Raw genomic sequence first — 19235 nt, forward strand, 5'->3', positions numbered from 1 at the left:
TTCGATTTTCTAAAGGACATACAGGAAGAGCTGTTTTAGGAATCAGTTCTACAGGTTTGAAGTGCATCTCTTTAAGATAGAAACAAGCTGTTATGACTTACGGGTAGCATCAGTAATTGGCTTCATGTTTTCATCGTTGAGAACATGAGATGAAGGTTCACAAAAGAGTTTTATAGCAACTGTTATTCTGGCAGCGCTGGTGATCTCTATTTTGAGCTGTTATCCTATCATTCTCAGTAATTTTAGAACCATCAGTCGGGAAGTGTTCTTTATCAAAACTGAGTCATTTTAATACCAACCCACAAAAATAAAAACTAAAAAAATTTAAAAAAACATCGAATCATTGTAATAAACACCTAAACCACCAACACAATAGCTTGAAAAAGTTGTCAAATTTTCTTAAGACTAATATGGGTAAATATTGTTTTAATATAAAAAATAATAGATGTTAGACATTCAGACATCCTCAATTTGGAACAAACAATATATTCCCTTTTTAAAAATATTCTTTCTCGATGTGTTAACGTTTACAACTATAGTTAACATCTTCATTATGTGAATAAACAAAATAATCATAGTTTACTATTGTTAACATCAATTTTATATTTTTAAGAATGTTTTTAACTTTAAATATTTTAAATATTTGATTTAGAAAATATCGTCACACAAGTATGTTCCTTTTGTGCATCTCATTGAATTTAGTACCATCTGTTTGTTTTCTACCAACTTGAAATGCTTCAAAATTTATTTGTCCAAAACTCTAAAACTATTTTTAATTCCTAATTGGATTTTTCTCTTAATGCAGGAGGTCTTGCTGGAGTTGCTAGAACAATGTGTGGATGGCTTATGGAAGGCAGAACGTTATGAAATAATTTCTGAGATTTCCAAGTTGATCGTTCCAATTTATGAGAAACGTCGTGAGTTTGAGGTAGGCAATTTGAACATTTTTATCATTGACTTATGTATTTTATTTTGGTTTTAGGGAAAACAGTAATATAGTTCTGTCACTATTATTCGACTTGTGTCCTCTGAAGAATATAAGGTTCATTACATTATGACTTTTGCATTTTATCATAGAGTATAGTCTATCATTTTGACACATTTGTCCAATTTCAAAGTGACAATTCCTAAAAATGCTATTAAATCCTGAGATTTTTTAATGATTTCACCACAAAGGAATGATAAATGTTTGAGATGATACATTTACTAATTACCCTGTTTTGATCATTACACAATGTTGGCATGTATGGAAACAACATTTCCCCCATAAATTGTACCCCATAAATATGTACAGTTATTATGTGTCAATTAAAGACAACATAAAACTTCCTCTGGTCCTGCTTATGAAAATAAAGTAAAACTTAAAACATCCTACCTTATATTCATTTATGTTTTCCAAATGAAATTAAGGGTAAAAGATCCAAAATAGAAATTGAGATTTAAATTAGACCAGTGGTTCTGAAAAAAAAAATTTTTTTTTGAGATGGAGTCTCGCTCTGTTGCCCAGGCTGGAGTGCAGTGGCGCAATCTTGGCTCACTGCAACCTCTGTCTCCCGAGTTCAAGCAGTTCTCCTGCCTCAGCCTTCCCAGTAGCTGGGATTACAGGCATGCACCACCACGCCCCGCTATCTTTGTATTATTAGTAGAGACGGGGTTTCACCATGTTGACCAGGCTTGTCTCGAACTCTTGACCTCAAGTGATCCTCCGGCCTTAGCTTCTCAAAGTGTTGGGATTATAGGCGTGAGCCACTGTGACCGGCCTGAAAATATTTTTATCTAGCAACCTCCCCTCTTCCTCTCAGAGCGTAAAATAATCAGTGTTGTTTTCACTAAACCTTCACTTCAAAAAGCTGTCAAATTTCCATGTTACCCAGGGAAGAGGCATAGACATGATTCTATTCTTTATAATTTAGCGGAGAACCTAAAGGTGCTGGCAAATGACAGTGGGGTAGGTAATAATACACTAGTAATACCCCTATTATGAGAATTTTAAAATTTTGACTTGCCAGATAAACTATTGATAAAGTTTAGTTAATAAAGAATAGTAGTATAATGCACAGCAATTGCCACCAGCACTAAACAGGATTTTTTAAATATTCAAGTCTCTTAGTCCATATCATAATTTCTGTTGCTACTATGCTGGGAAGGGATGATTTAGGATTCAAGCCATTTTAAAAAAGCAAGGCAATTTATTCTTTTTTTTTGTTTTTTATTTTATTTATTTAGTTTTTTTGAGACGGAGTCTTGCTCTTTGGCCCAGGCCGGACTGCAGTGGCGCTATCTCGGCTCACTGCAAGCTCCACCTCCCGGGTTCACGCCATTCTCCTGCTTCAGCCTCCTGAGTAGCTGGGATTACAGGCGCCCGCCACCGCGCCCGACTAATATTTTTTTGTATTTTTAGTAGAGGCAGGGTTTCACCGTGTTAGCCAAGATGGTCTCGATCTCCTGACCTTGTGATGCGCCCGCCTTGGCCTCCCAAAGTGCTGGGATTACAGGCGTGAGCCACCGTGCCCGGCCTGGCCATGTATTCTTAAATAAAGCAGTTAGGCCTTTCCTTGTTGACGTGGTTTCTGAGAGTGAACACACATAGATTTAATATAATCTGAGTAGTGTTTTCATCTCTCCTCCAAACTAGCTCTGATCAAATTCACTTTTTCTTCCCAGATTCTAGGTCTTCCTCTCTCTGCCATACTTTTGGTGTATATGGGGCATGCCTGAAAACTCATAGTAGAATTCAAGTGAATATATTAATAAGCTGAAGTATAGGTCATACAGATGGCAAAGAATAGCCTATGAGACAAAACCAGATTTGCCATTACCCCTCCTATCAAAGCATTACATCTGAAGAACCTTTGTAGTAATTTCAAAATAAAGTCCCCATTTTTTGACTCTTAGGATGAAGGAAGTTCTGGCTGTTAGAAACCCAGGGAGCCTTTTGCTACTTAGCCAACCAACAGGGAAGAAAGAAAAATATATCTTCTTTATACATTAAAGGAAATGATGTTTTCTACAGGGGAACTACTCCTATTTCCTTGGAGGGGTGTAAGGGTCTGTATAAATCCCCTAGAACTCTGTATAGATGAAGTAATTGTGTTTAAGACTGATGTAGCTGGAGCATGGTATACACGCCTGTGATTCCGGCCACTTGGGAGACTGAGGTAGGAGGATTGCTTAAGTCCAGGAGATTGAGGCTTCAGTGAGCTATGATTGAGACACTGCACTCCAGCCTTGGCTACAGAACAAGATCCAATCTCAAAACAAAACCAAAAAGTAGAACACTGATGCATACTTTTTCAGTGTATCTCTATGGAACGGGCTGAAAACTATCAGAGATAGCAGCCAAAGTAAGGAAGATTTCCCTCCAATTGAGCTCAATTATAAAAGATAATATGGGAGGAATTTTAGAGAAAGAAGCTTGTGTGTTTTTCCTTTTTTGTTGAGGTGAAATTTATATAACATACAATTAACCATTTTAAAGTATAGAAATCCTATTATCCTATCATTCTCAATATGCACCCACCACCTCTTTCTAGTTTTAAAACTTTTTCATCTCCCCAGAAAAACACTCCATACCCATTAAGTAATTACTCCCCACCCCACTCCCATTTTCCAATAACCACTAACCTGCTTTCTGGATTTGCTTATTCTGGATATGTCATATAAAAGGAATACAGATTGAGCCTCTCTAATCTGAAAATTCGAAATCATAAATGCTCCCAAATCTGAAACTGTTTGAGCATGGTCATGGTGCTCAGTGGAAATGCTCATTGGAACATTTTGGATATCAGATTTTCAGATTAGACATGTTCAATTGGTAAGTCCAATGCAAATATTTCAAAATCTCAAACACTTCTGGTCCAAAGCATTTCAGATAAGGGATACTCAGCCTGTGATATTATATGTGACCTTTTATGTCTGGCTTCTTTCAGTTAGCATAATTTTTTTTTAATTGAGACAGAATCTCACTCTGTCATCGAGGTTGGAGTACAATGGCATGATCTCAGCTCACCGCAACCTCCGCCTCCTGGGTTCAAGCAATCCTCACACCTCAGCCTCCCAAGTAGCTGGGAGGTGCACACCACCACTCCCGGCTAATTTTTGTATTTTTAATAGAGATGGGGTTTCACCATGTTGTCCAGGCTGGTCTCAAACTCCTGACCTCAAGTGATCCACCTGTCTCAGCCTTCCAAAGTGCTGGGATTACAGGCGTGAGCCACCGCACCTGGCCTGTTAACATAATATTTAGAGGTTCATGTATCAGTTGTAGCATATATCAGAACTTCATTCTTTTTTATGGCTGAGTAAGATTCCATTGTATGGATATACTGCAGATTGTTTATCCATTCATCCATTGATGGACATTTGGGTTGTTTCACCTTTTGTCTATTATGAATAGTGCTGTTGTAAACATTCATGTGCAAGTTTCTGTGTGGATATATATTTTCAATTCTCTTGAATATATACTAGGGAGTAGAATTGCTGGATCATTTGGTAATTCTATGTTTAACTTTTTGAGGACCCACGAAGCTGTTTTCCACAGTGGCTGTACCGTTTTACATTTCGATCATCAGTGTTCTAGGATTCCTATTACTTCATATCCTTACCAACATTTTTTATTTTCTGTTTGTTTTATTTTGTTTTATAAAATCCATCCTAGTGCATGTGAAGTGGCACCTCATTGTCTTGGTTTGCATTTCCTTAATGACAGTGAGATTGAGTGTCTTTTCGTGTCCTTCTTGGCTGCTTGTACATCTTTGGAGCAATGTCTATTCAGGTCATTTGCCCATTTTTAAAATTGGTTTGCATATATTTTGTTGTTGAGTGGTAAGAAGTCCTTAAATATTCTGGGTACTAAACCCTTATCAGATCTGTGATTTGCATATATTTTCTTCCATTCTGTAGCTCGTCTTTCACATTTTTGATAATGTTCTTTGCACAACGTGCTCTCTTTTTCTGGAAGTGCGGAAAAACATATCCTTTGGAAATATCTGTGAACTTGCATAAAAGCAGTCCTCACTGCAGCTTACACCATTGCTTATTTTTATATTTGCATTTTATTTTCCTTTTTAAATACATGGATTGTTTATTCTCATAGCTCTCTACCTGAGGGCTCAAGCAAAGCATTTGGCTGCCCTTTCAGTTAAAAATATTCCGATCCTGTAGAAAATAGTAGTTGATAATACAGTATTTCAAAATTTAAAATTTCCATTGAGATGTGAATGAAATGAAGCATGATATTAAGAAATACATTGTCATTGAGGAACAGAAAACCACATACCGCGTGTTCTCACTCAAGTGGGAGCTGAACAATGAGAACCCATGGACACAGAGAGGGGAACAACTCACACAGGGCTTGTTGTGGGGTGGGGGGTGAGGGGAGGGAACTTAGAGGATGGGCCAATAGGTGCAGCAAACCACGATGACACACATCTATCTATGTAACAAACCTGCATATTCTGCACATGTATCCCCCCTTTTTTTTTTAGAAGAAATTTCTTTTAAAAAGAAATACAGTGTTATTTTACCATTTTAAGTTCTACCCTTAGACCTAAAGTTGTTGAGGACTTTGATTGTTACAAAGGGAGATGAGTATGAATGGCCCCACCAAGACCATTTTGAAAAGAATATACTGGTGCTTTTTATTTTTGTACATTCATCTTGAAGACATTTAGTAATTAAACAAAAAACAAAGCTGATTTGTATATTTTTATTTTTCAGAAACTTACTCAAGTTTATAGAACTCTTCATGGAGCTTACACAAAAATTCTGGAAGTTATGCATACAAAAAAGAGACTTTTAGGCACTTTCTTCAGAGTTGCCTTTTATGGCCAAGTAAGTGTACTTGAATCCATAAAGTTTTCCTTTTTAAACATTCACCTTTGAATTACTAGTTTACTATAGCAGCTAGGAGTCTATCCAGATAGAGTGCCTATTACAACAGCAGGGAGCCTCTTTTGTATGTATAAAGTTCACTTTGGTTCTCATATCTAAACCCTTCAGGTCAGAATACAACAGAAAAGGTTTTGATTTCTGTCAGTTTCATTTTCTGTTAAGCTTTTTAAAGTACATATTAAATATATAGTAGTTAAAACTTTTAAATAAAAAACAGGTAAGTGTACAGGGAAGGAAAAAACCTAGTTTGGAAATCTTCCTCAGGCCATATGTTTATGTGATTATAAATTTGAAAATTACCAGGAATTTAAAAATTCTCATGTATTTGAAATTAAAAGGGTAAATACAAGCATGGGACTTTTAGTAATATTATTCAAAATTTATTTCAAATATATTATTACTAGTTATTTAGTAGATTTTCTTTAAATGTTGTGTTTGCTCATATTATTTATAAGTTATTATTTGTTTAACTTTATAATAGTCTTTTTTTGAAGAAGAAGATGGAAAGGAGTACATCTATAAAGAACCAAAGCTCACTGGCCTCTCAGAAATTTCCTTGAGACTTGTTAAACTTTATGGTGAAAAGTTTGGTACGGAGAATGTCAAAATAATTCAGGATTCAGACAAGGTAACACATACCCTACATGTTGAAATCATTATTTGTTAGTTCCAGGCATTGTACATTGCTCCTGACTTTTTCCTTTTTTAACTGGTAGAGAAGCATGAAAACAGAGCTTTCCAGATAATAAAAGAAAGAACAGGGGCTTTGGAGTCAGAGATACCAAGCTTCAAATCTCTACTCTCTGCCACTCACTAGCTGTGTGACCATGGGGAAGGTACTTAACTCTCTGTGCTTCATCGTTCTTAGTAATAAAATGGAGATAATAATAGTAGTATTTTCCTCATGAGGTTGTTGTATGGATTAAATGAGTTAATATATGGAAAGTATAATCACTTTCCTGGTACATAAAAAGCATTCACTAATAATAGCAAGCTAGCATGCTCACTAAAGGTTAGATATTATTGTAAATGCTATTGTACATCATGATTCTCCGTTACATCATGATTAAAATCACCTTGGGGCACACATTTTATTCTAAGATATCCTTAGTTCAGTAATAGTGACTGTAGTTAACATTTGCAATGAAATAGGTTTAGGAGAGATCCTTGAGCCTTGCTCTAAAGGTTATCCATCCCACTAGGCCCTGCCAAGGCATAGTGAGAAGGCTTATATTATAGCAAGAGAGGCCCTTTCCTAGGAAATGCATAGTTCCCTATAGACAGGATTTGGGGGAAGCACTGTAGGAATGCCTGACTGTCCTTAGTTGCCTTGGGTGTGCCCAGACTTAGAGCTGATTTTTAAGGGTAGGAAGCTCATATAAAGTTCAAGATTTGTATCCACAGTGATATTTACTGAGTGACTATGATATGCGCAGTGCTATGCAGAACACTTAAAAGCTAGCAGGAAGCATTACCAGAGTGAAAAAGCCCATGGCTATTGTAAAGACACTTCATTGTCTACCACGAAAATAATCTCTTCACTTTGTATACTTACATATATCTCTTGGAGATGACTTTATCTTAAACACATGCCTAAGACATTTAAAAATAGATTTGGTGGTAGTTTCAACGTAATATATGGCAAACACTCTCTACTTCTTTCCTTATCAGTTTCACTATTTTGTGTTGTTTCGTTGAATTGAGACAACAGAAGATTTTCTCCCCTTGCAGCCAGATAGTGTAAGACTTGTTCCCACAATATTGATTACTGTATAAATGGAAAGGTAATGAAAAGTCAGACTTTCTGTGCAACATGCAGTTTTCTACCTTATTCTGCCTCTGAAAACTGGGCCAAAGAATGCTAGCGACAAACCACTACAGGTGGCTGGACTCCTGATGTTTGTTATGTATCATATTTTAGTAGTTCCCCACAGGCAACAGACATAATAAGCAGTTCTGGCTTTTAAAATATATTTATTGTTTTCTCAGTTTGTGAAAATAAAAATTAAAAATATTCTTTTCCCTTGCCAAAGAACAAAATCTGCTTAAGGGCAAAGGCAATTTGAAGAGGAGTTTGGCAATATCTTCCAATATTTTAAATGTATGTGTCCTTGGACCCAACAATTTCACATTTAACATTTTATCTTGTAGATGTACACATATAAATGTATATGTTTAAAGTTGTTCACTGCCACAAAATTTATATAGCAAAAACCTGGAAGCAGTCTAAATGTCCATATGGTTAAAGAAATGGCGGTATTACCCATATAATGGATATAACCACCTAGACATTAAAAAGCATGAGAGATTTGTAAGTGTCCATATGAATCTATCAAGATGTATATTTTTTTCTTTTCTTTTTATTTTATTTTATTTTTTTTTAGACAGAGTCTTGCTCTGTCACCCAGGCTGGAGTGCATTGGTGCCATCTTGGCTTACTGCAACCTCCGCCTCCTGGGTTTAAGCAATTCTCCCACCTCAGCCTCCCTAATAGCTGGGATTACAGTCGCTCACCACCACACCTGGCTAATTTTTGTATTTTTAGTAGAGCTGGGGTTCCACCATGTTGGCCAGGATGGTCTCGAACTCCTAACCTCAAGTGATCCACCCACCTCAGCCTCCCAAAGTGCTGGGATTACAGGCCTGAGCCACCACGCCTGGCCGCTTTTAATTTTTTTCGAGACAGGGTCTGGCTCTGTCGCCCAGGCTGGAGTGCTGTGGCACGATCACAGCTCACGGCAGCCTTGACCTCCTGTGCTCAAGCGATCCTCCCACCTCAGCCTCTTGAGTAGCTGGGACTACAGGTGTGCACCACCACACCTGGCTTATTTTTGTTTCTTGTGGGGTTTTTGTGTGTGTGTGTGTGGAGACGGGGTCTCACTATGTTGCCCAGGCTGGTCTCAAACTCCTGGGTTCAAGCAATCCTCCTGTCTTAGCCTCCTGAATAGGTGGGACTACAGGTGTGTTACCACCATACCCCAGCTAATTTTTTTATGTTTCTTAGAGACAGGGTCTTGCTATGTTGCCCAAGCTGGTCTCAATCTCCTGCGCTCAAGCAATCCTCCTGTCTTGGCCTCCCAAGCCCTCAGATTACAGGCATGAACCACTGCAACTGGCCCCATGTAAATCTTTTAACTAAGCAATTTCTTTTCTAGGAATTTATCCTAAGGAAAAAATCAGAAAAAAAATGCACACAGTTTTAAATACAAGGATGTTCATCAGAACATTATTTACAACAGCAAAAAGTTGGAAAACAGCCTGTCTCCACTAATGAGAGAATGGTCCAATAAGTCATGTTTATCCATACAGCCATTAAAAGTAATGTCAGTGACTATAGTATAAACTATTGGCCAGACATGGTGGCTCATGCCTATAATCCCAACACTAGGGGGCTGAGGCAGGAGGATCACTTGTGCCCAGGAGTTCCAAGCTAGCCTCAGCAACACAGGGAGACCTCATTTCTACAAAAAAATTTAAAAATTAGCCAGGTATGGTAGTGCATGTCTATGGTCCCAGCTACACGGGAAGCTGAAGTGGGAGGATCACTTGAGCCCAGGAGGCTGAGGCTGCAGTGAGACATGATCACACCACTGCACTTGAGCCTGGGCAACAGAGCGAGACTCCATCTCAAAAATAAATAAATAAACTATGATACCTGTGTTTTTATTGAGGTGTAATTCACATAATGCACAATCAAAACTGTTTAGTCTGACCTCAATTTTCTGAATACATAGGCATAGAAGAAAGATGAGAAGGAAATATATAAAAATGTGAATAATGATCATTGCTGGGTAGTAGGATTACAGTAATTTTTTTTTTTTTTTTTTTTTTTTTGGAGACAGAGTTTCACTTTGTCGCCCAGACTGGAGTTCAGTGGCGCGATCTCGGCTCACTGCAACCTCCGCCTCCCAAGCTCAAGTGATTCTCCTGCCTCAGCCTCCTGAGTAGCTGGGACTACAGGCTCATGCCACCCCGCCTGGCTAATTTTTGTGTTTTTAGTAGAGACAAGGTTTCACCATGTTGGCCAGGCTGGTCTCAAACCCCTGACCTCAAGTGATCCGCCCGCCTCGGCCTCTTAAAATGCTGGGATTACAGGCATGAGCCACCGTGCCTGGCCAATTACAGTAATTTTTAATTTCTTCGTATGTTTCTGTAGTCTCCAAATAGATTTCTGTAACTTCTTTATAATCAGAAGTAAGTGATTTTTAAAAAGAAGAATGAAGACGCCCTTTATTGGAAACACAATTATAATGGCAATGTTCCTCACTTGGTCTCAAAGAAGTTAGTAGGTTACCTTATCTCCTTTTCCCTTCCACTGAATAAAATAAAAAATAAAATAAAATAAATAAATAAAAACTTTCTTATTTTATAGGTAAATGCCAAAGAGCTTGATCCAAAATATGCTCATATACAAGTTACTTATGTGAAGCCTTACTTTGATGACAAAGAACTCACAGAAAGGAAGACCGAGTTTGAAAGAAATCATAATATCAGCAGATTTGTTTTTGAGGCCCCTTACACTTTATCAGGCAAAAAACAGGGCTGTATAGAAGAACAGTGCAAACGCCGTACAATCTTGACAAGTAAGTACAATTTTACATATTAACTTCTTATTTGTCTTGGTCTTTTTCAGCATACACGAGTAGCAGCTGGCCAGCTGGAACATACAACTGAAATTTTAATTATTATTTGTTCTGCTGTTCAGTTACAAGTTTGCACAAGCACGTCCATGTGATAAACCATCATTTTCCCATATGTCATCCATGATTGCCCAGAGGTGTCTCATAAAGAGAATTTCTCTCTGAATCCTGAAGTACTATATGGGACCCTAAGTCATCTTCTAGATAAAGGATGGGGAGAGTTAAGCACAATAGAGTTTTTTCTTTAATTTGGCTGTTTGAACAAATGATTTTCTAAAGTCAGTAAATCAATCTTAACATTTTAATAGCTTCAAACTCGTTTCCTTACGTGAAGAAGAGGATTCCTATTAACTGTGAACAGCAGATTAATTTAAAACCAATTGATGTTGCCACTGATGAAATAAAAGATAAAACTGCAGAGCTGCAAAAGCTTTGCTCCTCTACTGACGTGGACATGATTCAGCTCCAACTTAAATTGCAGGGCTGTGTTTCTGTGCAGGTACGTTGGTCATCCAACATGTATTGAATGTTTCTTGATGTTTCTTTTGGTTTTATAAGGGCACAGAGCAAGCATTAATTGTAATTATGTGTTGGGCACTTACTGAGTGCAAAAACCTGTGCATTATTTTTTGTTCATTTAATGAAGATATTACATTGAATTTTTTAAAGTTTTGTGTTATGTCAGAGGACTTTAACATAAGTCCGATGACTGTAGCGAAGCCCTGTATGTACATATCAGAAATCACTAACTTACTAGAATATCATCTTTGTAGATTATTTTCTTTAGTTAATGGTTTTTTGAAATAAACTTGAAATAAGCATATATTTCTCAGATATGGATTTCTTGTATATTTTGGGATTTTTAATAAAAAAGAGAAATGCCAAAACTTCTTTTGATTATTGCATTCTGGAAACACTCTCATTTTTCTTCTATTGTGATATAGGTCAATGCTGGTCCATTAGCATATGCAAGAGCTTTCTTAAATGACAGCCAAGCTAGCAAGTATCCACCTAAGAAAGTGAGTGAGTTGAAAGACATGTTTAGGTAAGTGTTTTATAGTTTTCAGGTTAGACCCGTGTTCGTTTTCTCTATTTTCTTCTTTTAAAAAACAACAAAGTATTGACCAAATAATACCCTTCCAAAAAGGGACATTCTCTGTGGTCTTTTACAATATCTAAGTGACCTCCTAATGGCACTTTGAGCAAATGTGAGATCAGTTTCATCCTGCAGGACATTAACAATACCCTAGTGACCCAAGAGATTAAATATGCCAGTTTACTATATTGCTTTGAATATTTTAAGTGACACAAACACAAGCCTATGTTCCTTATGTGCTTTCCTTCTTCACCCAATTGACCTCCTGTTACAGCATTTCAGACCATTTGGGGTAGGAATAGAAGTGGGGCAGGAAAGATTGCATAGGCTCACTCCAGTCCCCTGTCCTTACTTCTACTTGGACTCTGCCAAACTAGGGCATGCAACATCTTGTCTTCAGTGAGCGGCTCTGTAAGCTTAGGCATGTATGAATGCTCCTACATTAGAGAAATATCTTTAATATATAAAAGTCTTCATTCAGAAGAAGAGAAACAGTTGAGTAATATGGACTAAGGAGAAAGATGATAATCTATCCACTCATTTGCTCCCGACTTATTTTGTTTACTTTTCCTGTCTATGTTTTATCAGCTGTTCCAGAGTGCAGAGTAACCAGTAGTCATTCATTCACCAGTATTAATGCCTGGTACATGCAAAAGACTATTTGTTGCTATGACAGGGATATAAAACAAATGGACAATGAAGTACTTTGTCCCCTAAGACCTACACTCTAATTGTGGACATTAAACATAAACACATGAAATAATGGAAAAAGACTTTTATGATAGGTCATCAACTTTCTGTTCTCCTTCCTAGCAGCCCAGGGAAGATCCTTCATACCTGTACCACCCAGCACTGTACTAGCCACATAGTAAGCTCAAAATAAATTCTTTTTGAATGAATGACTCGTTATTTATAGGTGCAAATTAATGTCAGCACAACTTTAGCTGATAGAATGCCAAGGAAATGATTGAGCAAGTAGGCTTTCCAGAGGGTATGTGTTTTGAGCCAAGTCTTGAAGGAGATAAGAAATGAAACCATAAGGCAAAGGTGGAAAGGAAAGAAGGCATTTCAGACTTAGGAAGAGACATTAAGAAATAAATGCACAGTGAGAAAATAGAGGATTCTGATCTTCTTCCTAGGCAAGCCATGGCTAAACTGAGTTATCAAATGGATTGTCAGTGATACTTCCTAAGAATAAATAACAAGACCTTTATCTTTGATATTCATCCACAGGAAATTTATACAAGCATGCAGCATTGCACTTGAACTAAATGAGCGGCTAATTAAAGAAGATCAAGTTGAGTACCATGAAGGGCTAAAGTCAAATTTCAGAGACATGGTAAAAGAATTATCTGACATTATCCATGAGCAGGCAAGTATTAGGGTGACTAAAACTGAAAACATGATCTGCGGGTCCCAAAATTGTTGCTTAGCAAAATATAATGGTTCAAAATGCACAACCTTAAAGTTATTAAGTCTATATTTTAAACTTTTTTCATATTATCTTTAATCATTTAAGTGATACAATACAAATCAAATTTGCAACAATTATCTAAAGTGGTTAGTGATGCAGTTATCTGTAAGAAACCATTTTGTTTTTTGTGCTCCAGTGTCAGAGGCAAGAGGTTGAACTGAGGTATACCGTTATCAAATAGATTACATAGTTTGTTTTTAGAAACTATCTAGTTGATGAGTTTCTATTCCTCATAATGCATAGAAAAAGCAGCAAAAATTCCTCCTTCACAAAAGATATGACAATTGCACATGCTATTTTAAGTGAGTATCTACTATATTACAGTTATTTCATTTGCATGCAGCTGCATGACCTAGTGTTGAACTCTAAATTATTCAAATTGAAAACAAATTATTCAATGTACTGTTATTACTGTAATCAAGATATTCTGAGTGGTCATTTTATAAAATTTTGTTTTCCTTTTGAAGCATGGATTTTTCAAATCTACTGTCGTATTTCCCACTTGTCTGTATCAGTTATTCCCATAAAACATGGCTATTTCTCTTAGATATAGAGACCAATAATTTAGACTCTTAATATTGTATATTGATAGCTAACCAAGAAAACTCTTAGTTTCTATTGGCTTATATTTATGCAAGCCATCCTGTCATTATGAAACATATTTGGGTGTGCCTTACTTTTGGCAAATGTTGACTTTGTAGTGAATTGAGTTTCACATAAAAGAGAGCCACCTTGTAGTCATACACTTTGAGGCATATATTAATACTGAGAAGTAAGACAAGTGTTAATGTGTACTGAAATTTGAAATATTCTCTTGAGCTCCATAAATGATTACTTGACAAAAAGACATGACTGGATATTCCTTGTCCCCTTTCAGTGTAATCTGTTACAGAATACCGAAGTATATAGTCCTTTCAAAAACTTCTTCAAGCTTTTTTTTCTTTTTTTTTTCTTTTTTTTTTTTTTTTTTGAGAGGGAGTCTCACTCTGTCGCCCAGGCTGGAGTGCAGTGGCACAATGTCAGCTCACTGCAACCTCCGCCTCCCGGATTCAAGTGATTTCTCCTGCCTCAGCCTCCCAAGTAGCTGGGACTACAGGCACGTGCCACCACGCCTGGCTAATTTTTTTGTATTTTTAGTAGAGATGGGGATTTCACCATGTTAGCCAGGATGGTGTCGATCTCCTGACCTCGTAATCCACCCGCCTCGGCCTCCAAAAGTGGTGGGATTACAGGCGTGAGCCACCACGCCTGGCTGCTTTTGATTTTTAAAAGGATTTATATTATCATAAAGCTATAAATTACAGATTTCTCAGATAGAGTTGGGGGTGGTCATTGTAGCATCTGTTGGGTATGTTTTGTAATTTCTTAGCAATAAGTACCCTCCTTGCCTGTCACATCTGACCAGCATAGATAATCAGTTATTCATCTCTTAACATTCTAGTATGCTTTCAGATTAGTGTCATGAGTTAATATTTTTGTAAGAGGAAATTTCTCTATTATAAATTTTATTTAAGCCTTATGATTTGTAGCAACACAAATGATATGTCTCAATACTGCCACTATAGATCAATCTGTGGGCTTAATACTGAAGTTTCACAACTAACTTGAGAACCAAGTATTGAAAGCTTGGGACCTAAGTTAGGACTTTATGGTAAAGAGAGTGGATATAATGTATATAGCGTTTTTTACCTCAATCTACTTTAAGCACAAGATTTCTGTTGCTTTTTCTTTAGATTACACAAAATGGATCATTTAAAAAATATTTAAACTAATACGAATATCTATGTTTATATACTTACTGGAATACAATCTTTAAATTTTATATTTATGAAGTTCTTCCTTTCCAAGAAAAATCTTCTGTATCAATTAGCTTATACAATTATAATGTGTCTTTAGAAATATGCACTTAAGACTTTTATCTTCATTTACTATTATTTTCAAGTCTCCAGGGAAGGAACATAGGTATCTGCATGTTTCAAAAGTCCCATAGATGATTCTGAGAACCACTGTGTTAGATCATTCATAAACTCATGTCAGAGTCTACCATTTAGAGCTCTTGTTATGACCATCTGTTAAAAAATATTTTAAAGATTGTGTTACCTCTCGCTTTTTATTGAATTTTGCATTTTACAGTCTTTGTTTTTCTTAATGAGTAACTAGATCTTTTCTGCTTTTTTGATATGCTGCCTTTGTAATACAGCTTTGAAGACTTAAGTCGGTAATGTTATTCTTTGCTCTCTCTGCTTTCTGTCTTTTTAAATAACTGTCAGTGATAAATTGAAATATGCCTGCAATTTCATATACACATTCTTTTTTTGGCAGTGGCTATTTTGCTTCATGATAATCATGCTGATTTCTTCTGTTTTAGATATTACAAGAAGACACAATGCATTCTCCCTGGATGAGCAACACATTACATGTATTTTGTGCAATTAGTGGTACATCAAGTGACCGAGGTTATGGTTCCCCAAGATACGCTGAAGTGTGAGGAAATGCAGATGTACGTGACAATGAGACTGACCTTTCTCAGGAATATTTGGAGCTGTGCAAATGTTAAAATTTAAAGATTTGATATACATGGAGTGTTTCTTCTCGACACCAAAATTTTCATGTGTTCCAACAGGGTGCTTACATATTTGTAAATAAGCAACTTGAAAGTGCCTGGAAAATTGCACCACTGTGCTTGGTTTGTACTTTTTTAGGTAAATCTATATGCTGAAAAGTAGAGCTCAAAAACAGTAGTTCAATTTGCTTAATTATTGCTTAAAATAATGGTACTATGTAAAATTGTATAATGGAATACAATAAAAGGTAAAACTTATTTGTAATTAGAAGTGAAAGAAATAATACTTTGAACTTAGCATTTTTCTTGACAAGAAGCTCAATTCATTATCATACTAATCCTTGGTAGGAGGAGAAGAAAATTGATAACATTTCCGTAATACACGGATATTTAAAATTGGGGAGATCATTTGAATCCTTGCCAATTAGTAGTCAAGGCTGGGCTAAAGGAACCAAAAGCATTATTTCACAGAAAATTTCAAAAGGAAAGGATATATTTACAAATATACGAAGCTTAGGCTGGACACGGTGGCTCATGCCTGTAATCCCAACACTTTGGGAGGCTGAGGCAGGCGGATCATGAGGTCAGGAGTTCAAGACCAGCCTGACCAACATGGTGAAACCCCATCTCTACTAAAAATACAAAAATTAGCTGGTCATGGTGGTGCATGCCTGTAATCCCAGCTACTGAGGAGGTTGAGGCAGGAGAATCGCTTGAACCCAGGAGGTGGAGGTTGCAGTGAGCTGAGATCACGCCACTGCACTCCAGTCTGGGCGACAGTGAGACTCTGTATATATAACATATATATAATAGTAAGCTTGAGATACCATATATATATGTTATGATCTGATGACGCTAGGTAATCTAGTAGGTCTCCCTTCTACATACAAGACATCTAAGGGATTTATACAGGGCAAGCAGCATTTGTTGCCAAAGCTTTATCATCTGGGGCCATCTACAAAGATAAAACATTTCTGAGATTGCAGTCAGTACATCCCACAGAACTTCAAAGCTTTTACAGCAATCTGAGGTAGGAGTTTTGTAATGATTATTTTCTTCAGTTACAAGATTAATAAACATTTTGATTAGAACTTAATGGTTGCAGCATGTCTTGGGTCAATGTAGAAAACCACCACAGATTTGGCAAACTAGCTTGGGATTATATTTCTGTCTATGAAGAAATCTCAGATTGCCTAAATAATTCAGGAGAAACCAAGATGTGAATGACATTTTTTAGCTTGAATTATCCAAATCATTTTGGCTGCCTTCTATGGGAACTCGGGTTCTAGACTTCCTTTTTTTTTTTTTTTTGAGATGGAGTCTCGTTCTGTCGCCCAGGCTGGCGTACAATGGCGCGATCTTGGCTCACTGCAACCTCTGCCTCCCTGGTTCACGCCATTCTCCTGCCTCAGCCTCCCGAGTAGTTGAGACTACAGGCGCCTGCCACCACGCCCGGCTAATTTTTTGTATTTTTTTTTTAGTAGAGACGGGGTTTCACTGTGTTAGCCAGGATGGTCTCGATCTCCTGACATCGTGATCTGCCAAAAGTGCTGGGATTACAGGCATGAGCCACTTTGCCCAGCCTACACTTATTTTCCTTATGTGGTTTAGCCTCTTTTACAGATGAAAAAACAGTCACTAAAATATAAATGGATTGCACGGGGCCTTGGCTTTTTGAGCACTTTGTGATCAAGTAAATCCTAGAGATTATGCTCCTGGCCTGACCATTTTTATTTTTATTTTTTGGGGGGTACCATTTTTTCTTTTTTGAGACAAAGTCTTGCTCTGTCACCCAGGCTGGAGTGCAGTGGCGCCATCTTGGCTCACTGCAACCTCCATCTCCCGGGTTCAAATGATTCTCCTGCCTCAACCTCCTGAGTAGCTGGGATTACAGGCAGGTGCCACCACGCCCAGCTAATTTTTGTATTTTTAGTAGAGACGGGGTTTCACCATGCTGCTCAGGCTGGTCTCGAACTCCTGACCTTGTGATCCACCCGCCTCAGCCTCCCAAAGTACTGGGATTACAGGCGTGAGCCACCGCGTCCAGCCCATTTTTTCTTTATATGTCATTTTTAAGCTTTCAGGAGAGCATGAACTTATTTATTAAAAGTTAATTTTGTATTTTAATAGGGGACTTTTACAAGTATTTCCAAGGCAGTTTGTAATTCCTTAATATCTTAGAGTAACCTGTAGAGTTAGTTTCACCTTTAAAGTGATTATATTTGATATGTATGTGTGAGGAATCATCACCTCTAGTAAATGCTGCATTCTGAGAGTTTGGCATCTTGAGGAGACTCCAGCACTCTTCTGTCTGTAACTAGTCCCTGTCAAAGCCCCTAGCACAGCAATATGCACTGTGGGTAGATTTTTTAATGTAATAAATGGCCCCTATTGCCAAGGATCTCGCAGTCTAGTTGAGAAAGCAAGACGCACAAAATTAAATAGTACAAGAATTAACAATGTAAGACAGGAGAAGTCATATGTGAGTATTGCCAAATGAACGACAGCATTCATAACTCAAATCACATTCAAAGAAAGAGATCACTGTGAATTGTAAATGTTCAGGGAGGGTTTAGTGAAGAAAAGTTAAGCTTTGAACAGGCTTCCAAAAATGGAGAGGGGTATTCTAGGCAGGAGGAACACCATAAGCAAAGGTGCAAAAAGAATTTGTGGAGGTTCAGGGGATAGTAAGGAGACCAGTTTTGTCCAAGAGGTGGTAGATGATAAATCTAGAAAATACAGGCTGGGCGTGGTGGCTCATGCCTGTAATCCCAGCACTTTGGGAGGCTGAGACAGGCAGATCACTTGAGCCCAGGAGTTCAAGACCAGCTTGGCCAACATGGTAAAACACTGTCTCTAATAAAAATACAAAAAAAAGTTAGCCAGGCATGGTGGTACACACCTGTAATCCCAGCTACTTGGGAGGCTGAGGCACAAGAATCGCTTGAACCCGGGAGGTGGAGGTTGTAGTGAGCCTAGATCATGCCATTGCACTCCAGCCTGGGTGGCAGAGTGAGATTCTGTCAACAACAACAACAACAACAACAACAAAAAGAAAGAAAAAAGAAATAAAATACATTCGGACTGAGATTTTGGAAGGCGCTGAATACCAGGCTAATGGTATTTGGAGTTTACTCAATAGGCATGAGAGAGCTAGCCAAGGTTTTTAAACAGATTACTTAATTAAATGTTATTTTTAGAAATTTAATCTTTTATATTGCTGCCAGATGTATTTGAGGTAGAGAGACATGGAAATTAGGAAACCAGTTACATAGATATTGCAATAAACTAAATTCAATAAACCTCTAGATGTGAGTGATATGACAAGAATGGAGAAGAAAGGACGAGTCCCAGAGACATATATGGAAGGACTAGGTAAGACTCATTGGATGGCCAAGGGAAAAAAAAAAAGAAATGTGAAAGATAATTTTGTGTCCTGTGGCCAGGGAGTTTGCCATGTCATGGCACAAGCTCACTAGATTTATTTTTCCAACTCTCAGACTAAAGGTAGCAAGCTGTAGAGAACAAGGTGGGCTCGAACAGAGAAAGCTAGGTAAATCTGTTTTTTAA

General features: G+C 37.4%; 1 protein-coding gene across 6 annotated transcripts in view; it reads left to right on the top strand.

Moving 5' to 3' along the window:
• DOCK11 (dedicator of cytokinesis 11) overlaps positions 1-15930 on the top strand; it is a 190333-nt gene extending 174403 nt beyond the window's left edge. For all 6 annotated transcript variants that reach the window (XM_005262368.5, NM_144658.4, XM_011531276.4 and 3 more), the window contains 8 exons: positions 806-928; positions 5719-5832; positions 6374-6520; positions 10265-10475; positions 10841-11031; positions 11477-11577; positions 12862-13000; positions 15471-15930. In XM_005262368.5, the coding sequence (XP_005262425.1) occupies positions 806-928; positions 5719-5832; positions 6374-6520; positions 10265-10475; positions 10841-11031; positions 11477-11577; positions 12862-13000; positions 15471-15590 (1146 nt within the window). In that variant the 3' untranslated portion in view covers positions 15591-15930. The remainder of the gene's footprint in view (positions 1-805; positions 929-5718; positions 5833-6373; positions 6521-10264; positions 10476-10840; positions 11032-11476; positions 11578-12861; positions 13001-15470) is intronic.
• Positions 15931-19235: the final 3305 nt, after the last annotated feature.

Source organism: Homo sapiens, chromosome X, assembly GCF_000001405.40.
Source record: "Homo sapiens chromosome X, GRCh38.p14 Primary Assembly".
Classification (NCBI taxonomy): Eukaryota; Metazoa; Chordata; class Mammalia; order Primates; family Hominidae; genus Homo; species Homo sapiens.